The sequence below is a fragment of the Homo sapiens genome, chromosome 6, assembly GCF_000001405.40.
Source record: "Homo sapiens chromosome 6, GRCh38.p14 Primary Assembly".
Taxonomy (NCBI): domain Eukaryota; kingdom Metazoa; phylum Chordata; class Mammalia; order Primates; family Hominidae; genus Homo; species Homo sapiens.
Window position 1 is genome coordinate 46669785 of NC_000006.12, and position 15032 is coordinate 46684816.

Genomic DNA, 15032 nt, shown 5'->3' on the forward strand with positions numbered 1-15032 from the left:
TTCCCCATGTTTTTTTCATAGCTTTTGTCAGCTTCTGAAATTATTTATTTGACTTCTGCCTTTTCCCAAGTGAAGTATAAGCTCCTCAAGGGCAGGGTCTTACCTGTCTTGTTCACTGCCTAGAAGAATGCTTGACACCAGCAGGTGCACAATGCCTGTTTGTTGACTGACATTCTTTTTGTTGTTTTTCTACCTCTTTAATTAATTTAGCATTAATTTTAAGCAAAAAGAGCATTATGAAGCTTGTAAGAATATATTTAGTATTATATTCTTTCTGAATACCACATTCCCTTTCCTAAGCTACAAACTACTACATACCATCTTTCAATTTCATTTATTTGTATTTATAGTTTATGTTCTGGACTGGTAGCTTCTATTCTGGGAACACCAGCCGATGTCATCAAAAGCAGAATAATGAATCAACCACGAGATAAACAAGGAAGGTAGATAAAAAGTCTTCAGTATCCATGTGCTTGAATATCTGTAATACCTTTGTGTTTTAAAGATGCATCTCTGCATTTTTTATTGATAGAAATGTATTTGTGTGTTTTTTGAGAAAATTGAGCGCATTTTTTTTATGCAATTACCTGCTCTTTGATGAAAAAGTGACATGCATTTGGGGAGATAAGCTAATTAACAATCATATTATTTAGACACAAGATTTTTATTATGACTTTATTGTTTTTAAAGAATTGTTAAAAGCATATTCTGCTGAGAATTTACAGAGCACTTTCTTCAGACGCTTATGACTTGAGTAGGTAACGTGGAGAATCTGATTTGATATGAAATAGTATGTTCTCCCTGGAAGAGAAAAGATAGAATGAATTCTAAATATAAGACCAAGGGTGGCATGAATCAGAAGAGTTAACCTTGAAAATATCTTTAAGATCAAAACAAGTTTTCTGTATCTGTAGAACCACAAATATTTTTCTAAACTAGCAGAAATTTTATTTATTTATTTATTTTTTTTGAGACAGAGTCTCACTCTGTCTCTCAGGCTGGAGTGCAGTGGCGTGATCTCCCGCTCACTGCAAGCTCCGCCTCCCAGGTTCAAGCCATCCTCCTGCCTCAGCCTTCTGAGTAGCTGGGACTACAGGCGCCTGCCACCATGCCCGACTAATTTTTTTAGTAGAGATGGGGTTTCACCGTGTTAGCCAGGATGACCTCCATCTCCTGACCTCATGATCTGCCTGCCTCGGCCTCCCAAAGTGCTGGGATTACAGGCGTAAGCCACCGCGCCCGGCCAATATTTAATTTTTATAAGATTCCTTAGACAATTTTTATGTACATATATATTTTTTTACACAGAAAAAAATTAAAAGGATCTTGTTTCCTTTTTAGGGGACTTTTGTATAAATCATCGACTGACTGCTTGATTCAGGCTGTTCAAGGTGAAGGATTCATGAGTCTATATAAAGGCTTTTTACCATCTTGGCTGAGAATGGTAAAGTTAGGTTTACTTCCTTTGTTTTTTTTCTTTGTACTTAAATTACTTTTAATTTATAAGCATTTTCCCTTTTCTCTTCTGGTTTGAAGCATGGCCCTGCCCCCCAAATCAAGGTCCTTTCTTTCTTTTTTAAATCTTCTTTTATTTCCTTTCACTTCTCCTCAGAGTTATCTTGCCTTCTGTGGTAGAGTAAGGTAAAATAAGTTACATCCATTGACGAATAAGTTGATAGTCTTGTTATAAAGCCAGTAAATAGATTTTCTGTAATGTAAAATTTTTAGTATTTCATTTAGTCATATTTTAATACAATATTTTAGAATATATATACAGATTTTACACTAGAGACCTCTCCTACAAAAAAAAATACTGTTTCAAAAAAATTTGTTACTTTGATAGCAGATGTTACATTACCCATTAATATTTATTACCACAAAACTCTGCTTAGTAAGAAAATATTATGTCATTTTTATTTGGTTTAGATGTTATTTTTCATTGCAGTGAATTAAGATATAGAATTAGATAGACTTGTTTAAGCAATATAGCAAATAAAATATAGAATTCTAATTCTATAATGTAGAATTAGATAGACTTGTTTAAGTAATATAGCAAATATAATAAAAACAAAGTGCTGACGTTTTTTGTAAGTTAAAACATTTGAAAGAATAGGTGAGTTATAGGTTTAGAAATTCAAGCAATCAAAAATTAACACAATATATTATAATACAATTATATATAATGTAATATTATATGTATCTTTTTAATTGAGTACCTACATCATGCAAAGCCCTATACTGAGGACTCAGCTTTGAATAAGAAACTATAAGTGATAAATGTTATGGGAAGAGTGCATAATGCTATGGAAATATATAGCAAATAAGCACAGCCTAAGCTGGCAATTGAGTAAACCTCCCTGGAGAATGGACTTCTGAATTTAGATTTGCAAAATGAGTATGACTTAGCCAGGAAAGAGGGCAGGAAAAAAAACATTCTCTATAGAGGGACAGTTGGAGTGGACAGAGAGCAGGGTGAGTTCAAGGAAACCTAGCAGACCAAGCTACAGAGACCTCATGGAGAGAGTCAAGGGGTGAGACCACAGAGAGGCAGACACCACACTAGGAAGGACCATATGAGCCAGAAGAGTAATGGGCACCAGTTTGAAGAAATATGCATTTTTAGAAAATTTGTTCTGCCTGTCGTGTGGATTGGGAAAAGGCCAGGAGTAGTGATATATGAGAGATAATGGTGGCTTGGACAAGAGTATGACAGTGGGAATAGAAGATGGATTAAAAACATGTTTAGGAGGTAGAAAGGGAATAGAAACATGACTGATTGGATGGGGATGGGAGAATGGTTGGAGAAGATAAGGAAAAGTCAGACTTCATTCCCAGATTCCTGCTCTGAGCAACTGAGGATGATGATGTAATTTCCTAAAACGGGGATCATCTGCAGGGAAGATTTGGGGATAAAATAAGGTTAGTTTAAGACCTATGAAATTTTGGATACCCATAGGACATCCAAGCAGAGATGTCTAGATGACAAACTGAATATATTGGTCTATGTCTTAGGAGAGAATACAGGGATGGAGGTTTAGATTTGAGCATTTTCCACATATAGATGGTAATTGAAATGTTGATAATAAATGATATCATCAAGGAATAGTAGGTATTTGTGTATTAACATGAAAGTAATAGCCAAAGCCCTTGGCAATACCTGATAAAAGTATACCAGAGTTTGAGATGTTATTTTGGTGGTTTTGATTATACCTTGAAATTATGTCAAAACTGTGGTTGTTTCTTACTGGAAAGGTAAATTTTGATTTGGCCTGCATAAACCAGGCACTGTTATAAGTGCTGGTAACACTGAGGAATAACATAGTCTTTGCACTGGAGGAGCTTACAATGAGATGTAGAAGTTAAACATGTAAGTAGTTAAAATTACAGAAATAATAAAAATTACTAAATAAATACTACTGAATCACTTGGTATATGGCCAACACTGTGCTAATCATTTTCATGACTTAACTCGTTGAATTTCCCCAACAATCTGTGCAGCAGGTTACTATCATATCCCTCTTTTATAGAGAAGGAAACAAAAAGCATCAAAAGTCTAAATAGCTTGGCCAGGTGAGTGGTTCAGGGCATCAAACCCAGGTGGCCTGACACCCAATAACACAGCCTTATTAAGGAGGTTGTATTCTTGCTTTACCAGTGGTATGAACAGTACTCTGTGGGAACACAGATAGTGGAGTGGAAATGGCTATGACCATATTTGGGAAGTCGCAAGAGGCTTCACAGAGCTGATATTTGATCTGGGCTTTGAGGCATCAATAGGCGTTTGTCAAGAGAAATATAAAGGTGCAACATGAGCATAGGCATCATGTCATGTGTAGGCCTGTTATCTTTGAAGAACTACAGAAAATTCAGTCTGGTTGAAGAATAGGTCCTCATAGGGGAGGTGGTAGGAGATAAGGCTAGAGAAGTACTTAAGGACCAAGTTGGGAAGAACCTTGTGGGCCAAGCCTAGTAGTTTAGATGAACTCTATGGAGCACTTGCTTAAGCCCGGGAACAATGTGCTAAGGTTTGTTTGACAGCAAGATTACTTTGGAAGTCGTATAGTAGATGCATTGAAAGCTAGGATGTAAGAAAGGAAGTTCTAGCAATGATCTAACCAGTTAGATGACTGTAGAAATGGAGAGGAGATAAATTTTAGGGACATTTATGGTTAACTCCATAGGACTTAGTAACTGATTATATGTAGAAGGTGAGGGACAGAAAAAAGCAAATGGGACTTCCTGTGTTTCTAATTCTAATGCAGGAAACTAGGAGGATGAGTGAGACCATTGCAGAAACACAAACTCAGGGTCAGGAGGGATGAGGGGCAAGTAGAATATTTAAGTACAAAGGATGGGACCACTTTGTTTAATCCTTTGTCTTTATACATATGACTCAGGAAGTATAAATAAGGAAAAAAAGAGTACTTAATACGTGCAAAGCTCTACATACATTACTTTTTAAAACTGTATAAGAACCTAGCAAAACAAGCAGTATTATCCTCATTTTTCAGATAAGAAAATCATGGCTCAGAGTATAAGAAGCTTGCCCAAGTTCATGTAGCTAGTATGTGGCAGAGCTGGGAACTGACCTCAGATCTGTTCCACTCAAAACCCTACGCTCCTTACTGATACAATATACTGATTTGCTCAACATCCTGCAGCTAGCTACAGAAGTTTTAAAATTGAAGAGACATTCCTAGCAGTGGAGGGGTATTTAAAGAAAGGCTGGCTAACCACCAAAGATCACCAGAAAGTCACTGCCTGGTTGACTTGCCACAGTGCATGACCCAGAGCACAGAAACCTAATTCATGAGCATTTCCAAGTAAATTGGCCTTGAAAATACAGATTCGACTCAGCTGATCTCATTGACACTGATGATCAGGCCACAATAGTTGGCTCATTCACACTGCACAACACATTTGGCAAGTGATCTGGATGTTCAAGTCCTCTGGCCAATGTGTTTTTTCCTAAATTCAAGCTATATGGGTACTCAAGTAATAATTAGAAGGTTACTTTCTTAACACAGATTCAAAACAGGAAGAGCTTATTTGTAAACTTAATCAACCCAAGAGAGCTCTTATATGTTCAACTCCACAGTAGCAGGCATGAAAAGGGACCCTGCTTCTGGTTTTTCTCTAGCCTTATGGCAAAAGATAGACCAAAAGAAACAATATGGGTTCATATACACTGGATTATTTGCAATGCTCATAGCTGTATCAGCGAGAAAATCAGCAAGCAAACATAGTGCCCACATGTGCTACTCCTGTACAGAGGCTTGGTAAATCCCATTTATATACCACCCACATTTTTGGCTATATGATCTCCCACTCTTTAAAAACTCTATTCAAAATCTAGCTAAACTCTATCCTGATCCCTTCTACTGGGTAGAGGTACTATGACCTTGCTTTGCTCAGTCCCTGGTTAGTACTTATTTCATTTGCCTATGGATTTTGTTGCTATAATGTCATTAACATGAAGAAGATTGATTACCACAGCAATTAAGAATGATTGCATAGGGGTTCTTAACTAAGACCTCTACCTTCTTCATCCAACTCCAAGTATATTGGTTTACTTCATTTTTATTACAAGAATATGGTATCATCGTAGCTTTATATTCCTTATTTCATCTATGTCATCATACCTTTAAATAACCAAGATATATTCTCCTAAATCCACTATTTAGTGAATTCTCAGTTTACTAATATAGCATGCTCAGTATTTCCAAACAAATATGAGATAAACCTTGCTTTACAAACAAAACCAAATACATTTGATTTTCTAATTGCTTAAGCTTATTTATCTACTCTAGAATGATAGAGCTACTCTCTGTTCAATTTTGATTAGAACTGAATTAGGCAGGAATTATTAGATCCAAGGCACTCTTTCTCTGTTCCAGTGTTTACCCTGTGATTTCCCTCTGTGTCTTTACAGTTTACATCTTTAGCATTTATGTCCTCTTCTAACCCTTATTCTTTTATAATTCCTTTAGATGTAGCCATACCTTCATTCAAGTTAAAGACAAGCCTTTCTGAACTGGAAGGGCTTTTTTCTATTTAATGTGAATTTTTATATAAATGTTGTGAGACATCAGGTGTTGGTTTTATGACCTAAATCTCCATGGATAATCTTTCACCTTCCTCACTTTCAAGTTCTAAAGTGACTTATTTTTATGCTCCATATACAAACTAGATATAGAAAAGCCTGCCTAGAATTCAGGCATCTTGAGTCCCAGCCCTTTAGCCAGTAATGGTTCAATAAAAAGAACTCTGAGAATGGAAAACAGAAGCCTGTGGTCTAGCTCTACAACATGTCAACAGGCATTTGACTGCTAAGCTTCAGTGGTCTCATCTGAAAATCAGGGATATTAATATCTTTCCTTTCTATTGTAAGATGTTGTTTAGAGAAATCTGTGATATATAAGACATAAAAAATGCTTTGTAAATTATAAAGTCCTTTACAAAGGTGAAATACCAAAATATTTGTTTTCAGCCTAAGTGGTTGCAAAATGACTTTGTCATTCAAATATATGTATGCACATATGTAGACTATTTATAATTGCTTTGAAATATGCACTAACTTCTTTGGTTAATCTTTCAGACCCCTTGGTCAATGGTGTTCTGGCTTACTTATGAAAAAATCAGAGAGATGAGTGGAGTCAGTCCATTTTAAACCCCTAAAGATGCAACCCTTAAAGATACAGTGTTCAGTATTATTGAAATATGGGCATCTGCAACACATACCCCCTATTATTTCTACCTCTTTAGGAAGACACCTATTCCACAGAGACTGATTTATAGGGGGCAGCACTTTATTTTTTTCTGGAAACCCAAGTTCTCTTTGACTCCTCTTTTTGTCCAAAAGTGATCTGGTCGGATCTCACAAGGCCATCCAATGAGACCCCGCACAGCATTTTCTAAAGAAGAATCGAAGCCTGACCACTTTCACCTTGGGCAAGAAGGTTTGGCCTTTGAGTTGCTATTCTATGCTGAAGAGCCTGCTTAGAGGAGGAGTACCAGGAGGGAGCCAGCATTTCAGATCTGAAGTAGACGATAGGAATGTGGAAGAACACATACATAGTGCTTAAGAAATACATTTAACCTGTTATGTCAGTATTTATCAATGAAGTTTGATAATTCACTTTTCTGTCATTGTTAAAGCGTACATACTGTAAATTAAAGGGAGGTGAATGGAAATTAATGAATAAACATTTTGAGTTTCCCTAGTGTTGAAGGAAGGTGTACTTTTTCTTGTCAGAAAGATAAAAAAAATCAAGTTGAGATGATGTTTGAATTTCAAGAAAAGAGGCTGCTTTCTGTCAGTGCCCTCTCATTAGATCTGTGTTAATTAGTTAGCACTCCACTGCACATGCTAATGACTTCCTCTGACAGCCACACACCGAATCTTGATGAAAAAAGAGAAGAGCATTTGCCTTGTTACATAGTCTGTTACAAGCCAGATATGTTGCTAGCTCTCAAGAGTTGTAATATATTAAGAACTACAACTTATTTGATTAAAACTCAGCTGTATAGATCCTTTTATAAAGCACCTTTTGTTAAACATCAGCCTTTCATTGGTATTTTAAAAGCAAGGCAGATAGATATGAAGTCAGCCAACTCTGACATGCGTCCTTTCTTATCTCCCTTACCTGACACTAGGGGCTCTAGAGAGGCAGAGAGAGCACTCACAAATCACACTAAAACTGCCAGCGGCCTGACTCTTACTCAGTTTAGCAAAAATTCTTGCCTAAAAAGTGATAAGTAAAAATCTGTTTATGGTATACAGTTATGTCTCGAATCTTTGAATCAAATCCATGTTCTTATTTTAGAAAGGTAAGAGTTCTTCAAATTCAGCTACATACCACCGGCTCTCCCAACCTCAGACGGTGGGCATTTCTGGATGGATGGCTGCGGTTATGGATAAAGGCTGTAACTGTTAACACAGAAAAACATGAAAAGCTCAGGCCCAAGAAAGGCCTTGGAGCCAGCCAAACAGAATTTGTTCTAATGGACATGGATGATGTTGAACAGAAAAAAGTTTACAAGTGCTTTGTGGTTGCACTAATGTATACTCACTGCCATTTTAAGAGGGGGAAGTACATTTTAAAATATATTTGAATGTCATGTACTGATATGCAGTAGCTTATTGTTTTTCTAGTTGCAGAGAATGTGAAGTTTAATCTCTTAAAATATTTAGATGGTCTACTTTTTCATTGAATTTGTCAATATGTAATTGCGTTGTAAAATATTATATATATATATATATATATATATATATATATATGCTTAACTTCCCAAGTGTTCTGCATTGAACCACTTAGGGAAAATTTTGTTTGTTTTTATGTTTTGTAATTTTTAAAATTAAGTAAAGACTGGATCAAAATAATTGCATCCAACCTGGACCGTGAACAATTGATTTAGCTTTATTCTTTGTGGGGTCGGGGAGTTGGGATGAAAACACTGCTTACGCACTGACATCATTCCTTGGGATCTGGATCAACACGAATTTCAGGAACTTTTAACCTGAAATGACTCCTTGGGATTATCTAATTTAACCTTCCCATTTCACATGTTAGTAAACTGAGATTCAGAGAAGTAGAGTTGTTTATGCTCATGAGTGACTTAGTAGCAGAGCCAGGATAAAAACACAGTTCTCCTAATATGATTATTATGACTGAGAGTTATTGTTCACTAATTAGGTACCAAGGAAGGGTCTTATGTCATGGTCACAACCCAGTAGAGTCTTCTAAAAACAGATTTTTCCTTATGGCATTTTTATGTCTCATACATTTTAGATGAATCTGAATTGTCTCTAGCATACATTTTAGAATGGAGTCACCATGCTTTAGCTTGAACATGAAGACCTTCTATAACCTAACCAAATCCAGTATACCCAATACTTATCCAATCACATTCATAATTTTCTGGTGAAATCATATCTACTGATTATTTTGGAACATTGCTTATTTTTGCCAACTTGGAATCATCTTGTTTTCCAAAATAATCCTCAGTAAATAAAAAGGATTAAAAATTTCAGTAATTTTTGTGTCCATACTCACAGACTTAAGAATTCCAAACTCACTTACTTATAGTACTACTCTATGTGGTATTTCTCTATTTTTTCTCCTCTCAAATGATTTTTTTCTTACTGAAAATGCATATACTTATTTTTAATTATGTAGTTTTTTATATGTATAAATGAATTAGTATATATAATTATAGACTAAATTTGCCATATATGATATAAATTATATATGAATTAATTTATATATAATTAAAGGGATAACATTTATTAAGTTTGCTTTCAATATGGAATAACATGTCTTTTTCAAGTGCTCCCAATACTATTTGATTGTAAGCTACTAGTGGGTAGGTATACATCTTCCATTTTTATATAAATCTCTGCTCTCTTTAGTAGCATTTCTTTGCTATTAAGAAAAAATGATTACAGCTACGTATAACATGAATCAATTAATTTTATCTTTATTGTTTTAAGAATCTGTGACTGGCCAGGCATGGTTGCTCATGCCTGTAATCCCAGCATTTCGGGAGACCGAGGTGGGCGGATCACGAAGTCAGGAGATCGAGACCATCCTGGCTAACATGATGAAACCCGTCTCTACTAAAAATACAAAAAATTAGCGGGGCGTGGTGGCGGGCGCCTGTAGTCCCAGCTACTAGGGAGGCTGAGGCAGGAGAATGGCGTGAACCCAGGAGGCGGAGCTTGCAGTGAGCCGAGATCATGCCACTGCACTCCAGCCTGGGTGACAGAGTGAGACTCCATCTCAAAAAAAAAAAAAAAAAGAATCTGTGACTATCATATGAGTCTGCAATTTCTCTTTTACTTTGCTAATAAAAAAATAAAAATTCAGGACAATATAAATATGAAAGGATTTGTTATTCAGTCATCTTCAAATTTTCAAGCACATTTATTTACAGTTGTTATAATTACATATATTTTTTCTATTAATGAAAACAAATTCCTTCAGGACTTTCCTAGAAAAAATGGTCAATTTTAATACTTGATGGTTAAAACAATTTCTTTGGAAAGGAAAATAAGTAATTCTTTTCTTCCCAATTAAACTGAGACTCTTTAAAGATGACTACCCAGCAAATATATATTATTATTGAATGTCAGATAATGTGGAAGAAAGACTGAACCCAGAATCTAAAGATCTTTATCCTATTTTGGGTTCTACTTCTGACAGAAGAGTATAACTAGGATCAAGTCCCTCCACTTCTCTGAATTCCCATTTCCTTAAAAGCTGAAGTGGGACGGGCGCGGTGGCTCACGCTTGTAATCCCAGCACTTTGGTAGGCCAAGGCGGGCGGACTGCCTGAGCTCAGGAGTTCAAGACCAGCCTGGGCAACACAGTGAAACCCTCGTCTCTACTAAAATACAAAAAATTAGCATGCGCCTGTAGTCGCAGCTACTCGGGAGGCTCAGACAGGAGAATTGTTTGAACCCAGGAGGCAGAGGTTGCAGTGAACTGAGATCACACCACTGCACTCCAGCCTGGGCAACGGAGGGAGACTCTGTCCGTGAAAGAAAAAAAAAAAAAGAAAAGCTGAAGTGATTGAACTCTAGAATCTTAACCTGTGTATACCTAAAGGGAGCCATATTGATGTGATGTTTAAAAAAATAGAATTTTAAAAATGTCATTAGGATTCTTTATGCTTGGGTTTATATTCTCATATTTCAAGATGGGGAAAAATTATTCAGACCTTAAAGTACAATACAGACTTCTGACGTGTCTGGACTGTCACCCTGAAATCCATTCTTCACAGGGAAGCACAGTCGTCTTCCATGGGGCAACTTTGGGCATATTCTCACCTTCAATTTCTCCTATATACACACATACTAAAAATTAAAACCTTTAATGCTATATCCAAGACCCTCTCAACCTGACTCCAGCCCATTTTTCTCACTTTTACCTTTCACTGCATACCTGTACCCTACCTCCTTGGAAATGCATTGCTCTAATTATTTCCCTGGAGATGCACTATACTTGCTGCTTTTCTATGTAGTTTATTCTGTTCCCTCCATCTACCTTTCTTCCCACCACCACCACCTATTCATCTTTATTTGTATTGGTTAAATTCTACCTCAGTTATCTAAAATAATCACCTACTATTTCCTCTCTGAAGCCTTCAGTATCTTCAGTACCCCCTTTCTCCCACTGCTTCCCCTACTACATAGATGTACATATCAGCGTCCCCTACACAAAATGTATTGCTTGAAAGCAAGGACCATGTAACACATCTTTGTATCCCTTACAAACTTCAAATAGGAGCCACTCTGAAGGTATCTGTTGAATTGAGAGGGTTTTTTGGAGAGTGGGGAGAAAGACATTTATACACATGATTAAATCATTTTGTTCTCTTCTTCAGAATAATTATGTTGGGTCAATAACACTTCTGATTTTATGAAATTTTTTACCATATTAAATGCTTAATTATGTTTTTAAATGATCATGTGTGTTTAAAACATGTCATAATTTTAAGGATCATCTTCATCTGTTTAATAGCTATTCCATAAAATTGAGAATTTGATAGTTTTAAATAATATATAATTGACTAACAGTTAATAAATATGTGATTTTAAAGCATGTATGGAAATTATATCACTATTTGGCCTTCATTGATGCCATATACATGAACATTTTACCCACTCAAGTGTTTTATTATTTCTGAATTTTGAGGAATACATTACTTTCTTCTCTCCCCATACTTTACCCCCAACAGGCTGCTGTGATTGTCAACAGCAGCAGGAGCCAGTTGAAGGTTTGATAAAAGCAGATGAAGATGCTTAAAGATGTCTGTTTGCTGAAAATATCTGGTAACAAACAGGAATATATGTGAGTAAATAAACTGTGTTATTCTGATTTTAAAAGTAAATATTTTAAAGTGCCTAATTGCTTGTTATCACGGGTTTTGTTTTGTCCTGATATAGTTCTGAGTTAAGAAGGTAATAACAAGGAAGGAAATACATGCTACAGCATGGATGAACCTTAAAAACATTATGCTGAGTGAAATAAGCCAGGCAAAAGTGAATACATACATGATTCTACTTGAGGTACTAGAATAATGAAAATTCATAAAGACAGTTTCGAATAGTGGGGAGGGAATGAGGAGTTGTTTAGTGTGTACAGTTTCAGTTTGGGATGATGAAAAAAATCTGGAAATGGATAGTGGTAATGGTTGTACAACAATGTGAATATATTTAATGCCACTGAGCTCTACACTTTAAAATGGTTTCAATGGTAAGTTTTGTTTTACGTATATTTTACCACAATAAACAGAAAATTTAAAAATCCATGTACGTAGATGTGAAAAATATTAGCAAATTGAATCCAGCATCATATAAAGTATAATACATCATGACTAAGTGAGACTTATCCTGGGAATACAAAATTGGTTCAACATCCTAAAAAATCAATATAATTCATCCAATTAACAGAACAAAACAAAACATATATCAACAGAATGTGAAAAAGTATTTGATAAAATTCAACAGTATTTGATGTAAAAATTCTCAAATTTTTACATGAGTAAAAAAGAAACTTCCTCATCTTGATAAAAAGGATCTAAGTAAAACCTGTAGCTAACATCGTATTTGTGAAAGACTTTCTCCTTAAATCAGGAACAAGGCAATATCAATTCTTACCATTTTATTCTAATCTGTACTGAAGGTCTTAGCCATTGCAGTAAAGCAAGAAAAGGAAATAAAAGGCACATATATTAGAAAAGAAGACATGGAACTGCCTTTATTCACAGATGATATAATTACATATATAAAAAAAATCCCAAGGAATCTACCAAAAGCTACAAGAATTAATAATGAAGTCCTAGCAAATTCACAAGATATAAGGCCAATATACAAAAATATATTTTGGTATACTGGCAATGAAAAACTAGGGACTAAAATATTTAAAAATTAATATTATTTACAATAGCATAAAAACATTAAAAACTTAGGGATAAATCTAACAAATGTGTACAAGATTTGTTCACTGAAAAATATAAAACATTACTGAGAGAAATTAAAGATTTTAGTAGAGCAATGAACTGTGTCCATGGATTAAAAGACTCAGTATTGCTCCAAAGTTAATTATTGTCAAATTGATCTCTACCTACAAAGCAATTCTAATAAAACCCCAGCAGCCTTCAAATTTTTTTGCAGAAGTTGACAAGTATATTCTAAAATACATATAGAAAATCAAAAACAATTTTGAGGGAAAAGAACAAAGAGGATTCATATTACTTAATTTTAAAATTGGCTTTTAAGCAGTTTAGAAAACAATCAAAACAAAGGGGTATTGGCACAAAGACAGATATATAGATTGATGGAACAGAATAAAGGGTCAAAGAATAAACTCACATACATATGGTCAATTAATTTTTGGCAAAAGCACCAAGATAACTTAACTGGAAAGTATAGTCTTTGCAACAAATGGCAGTATAACAATTGGATATCCATATATAAAAATAAAATCCTCAACCCTTACCTCACTACAAAAAGTTAATTTAAAATGAATCATAGACCTAAATACAAGAGCCAAAATTATAAAACTTCTAAACAAAAACATTGAAAGTTTGTTTTGTGGGTTTTTGTTTTGTTTTTTTACCTTGGGTTAGTAAAAGATTTAGTGGAACAATAACAACAAAATAAACTACCATTTAGAAAAGAAAAATATGTGAATAATTTGATTTCATCAAAATTACAAATTTTCTTCAAAAGACACTATTTAAGGGAATAAAACTGTAAACATTTGTCAAAATATCAAACTACAATATGAAAGTGTGAGTTTTACTGTACAAAAATTATGCCTAAATAGACCAAATTTTTAAAAAACCTAATTTAAGATTTTTAATCTTTAAGAATCCTAGGAGAGAACATATTTTTTAAGTTTTAATTTCATTCATATCACTAATAACTACAACTTATTACATGTTTCCTGTGGTGGGTCTTTTACCCATATTGGCTCATTTCGTCTTCATATTTAAGTATAGTTCCATTTTTATAGATGAAGAGAACCTAACTCTGAAAATTTTATTATCCATGTCACCCTGAGATGATAAACATGGACTTTCAAAATCTAAAGCCCTTCCTTTCCCACTATGTTTTGCTGCATCTCAAGTATTTATTTAATGCAAACATGTTAACTGTATTTACATTAATTCATGCAGTCCTTGGAACCAAAGTGTAAGGTGTATGCCGTTATATCCATTTTCAGATATGGAAACAGAGGGTAAATTATTTGCCTGGGTCACATGGCTCTTACAAATGGAGGCCAATCCTGCTGTAATTCAAAAGACTATGCTCTCTCTACTCTCATTGCCCCCTATAATGATCTGGTCTTGAATTGTCTGTGTGTGTATTCTAATAAAATTGTATTTTGTGACACTGAAATCTTAAATTTTTAAAAGCTTTTTATTTTGAAATAATTTTAGATTTTCATAAAGTTTCCAAAGAAAAACGTATAGGGATATACCATGACTGTTGTACACAATCAAAACCAGGAGCAAATTGACATTGGTACAATCCACAGATTCCAAAGTCACTAATTTATAAGCACACATTTGTGTGTGTGTGTGTGTGTGTGTGTGTGTCATTCCATGCAATTTCATCACCTTTGTGTAGCTTTGATAACTATCACTGCACACAAGATACAGAACAGTTCATCAGTCCATGCCTGATGCTATCCCTTTATAGGCATTTTCAACCCTTTTCTTCCCCATCCCTAACTCCTGGAAGCCACTAATCTTTTCTCCATCTCTATAATTTTATTAATCTAAGAATATTATGTAAATAGAATGCAGTATGTAACCTTTTACTATTTTTTTTTCACTCAGTAAAATTCTACGGAGAACCTTCCTAAGTTGTTGCTCACATCAATAATTCATTTTCCTTGTTATTGCTGTGTAGGACCCTTTGGTATTGATGTACCACAGTTTGTTTAACCATTTACCCATCGAAGGGCATTTAGGTTGTTTCCAGTTTTGGGTTCCAGGTTTTTGCATGAGCATGTTTC

At 34.9% G+C, this 15032-nt stretch overlaps 2 protein-coding genes and 1 long non-coding RNA gene across 12 annotated transcripts in view; 2 read left to right on the forward strand and 1 right to left on the reverse strand.

Annotated features, from left to right (window-relative positions):
* Window positions 1-8406, forward strand: part of SLC25A27 (solute carrier family 25 member 27) — a 25216-nt gene extending 16810 nt beyond the window's left edge. For 2 of the 8 annotated variants that reach the window (NM_004277.5, XM_047419575.1), the window contains 3 exons: window positions 351-443; window positions 1342-1444; window positions 6599-8406. In NM_004277.5, coding sequence (NP_004268.3) covers window positions 351-443; window positions 1342-1444; window positions 6599-6670 — 268 coding nt within the window. In that variant the 3' untranslated portion in view covers window positions 6671-8406. The remainder of the gene's footprint in view (window positions 1-350; window positions 444-1341; window positions 1445-6598) is intronic. The other 6 variants (XR_007059387.1, XR_007059388.1, XR_007059389.1 and 3 more) reach the window with 6 other exon arrangements.
* Window positions 660-15032, reverse strand: part of TDRD6-AS1 (TDRD6 and SLC25A27 antisense RNA 1) — a 17722-nt gene continuing 3349 nt past the window's right edge. For all 3 annotated transcript variants that reach the window (NR_134643.1, NR_134644.1, NR_134642.1), the window contains exon 2: window positions 660-801. This is a non-coding gene — a long non-coding RNA (TDRD6 and SLC25A27 antisense RNA 1). The remainder of the gene's footprint in view (window positions 802-15032) is intronic.
* Window positions 10484-15032, forward strand: part of TDRD6 (tudor domain containing 6) — a 24052-nt gene continuing 19503 nt past the window's right edge. Inside the window, exon 1 of the transcript NR_144468.2 lies at window positions 10484-11855. The gene's annotated coding sequence lies outside the window, so the exon portion shown is untranslated. The remainder of the gene's footprint in view (window positions 11856-15032) is intronic.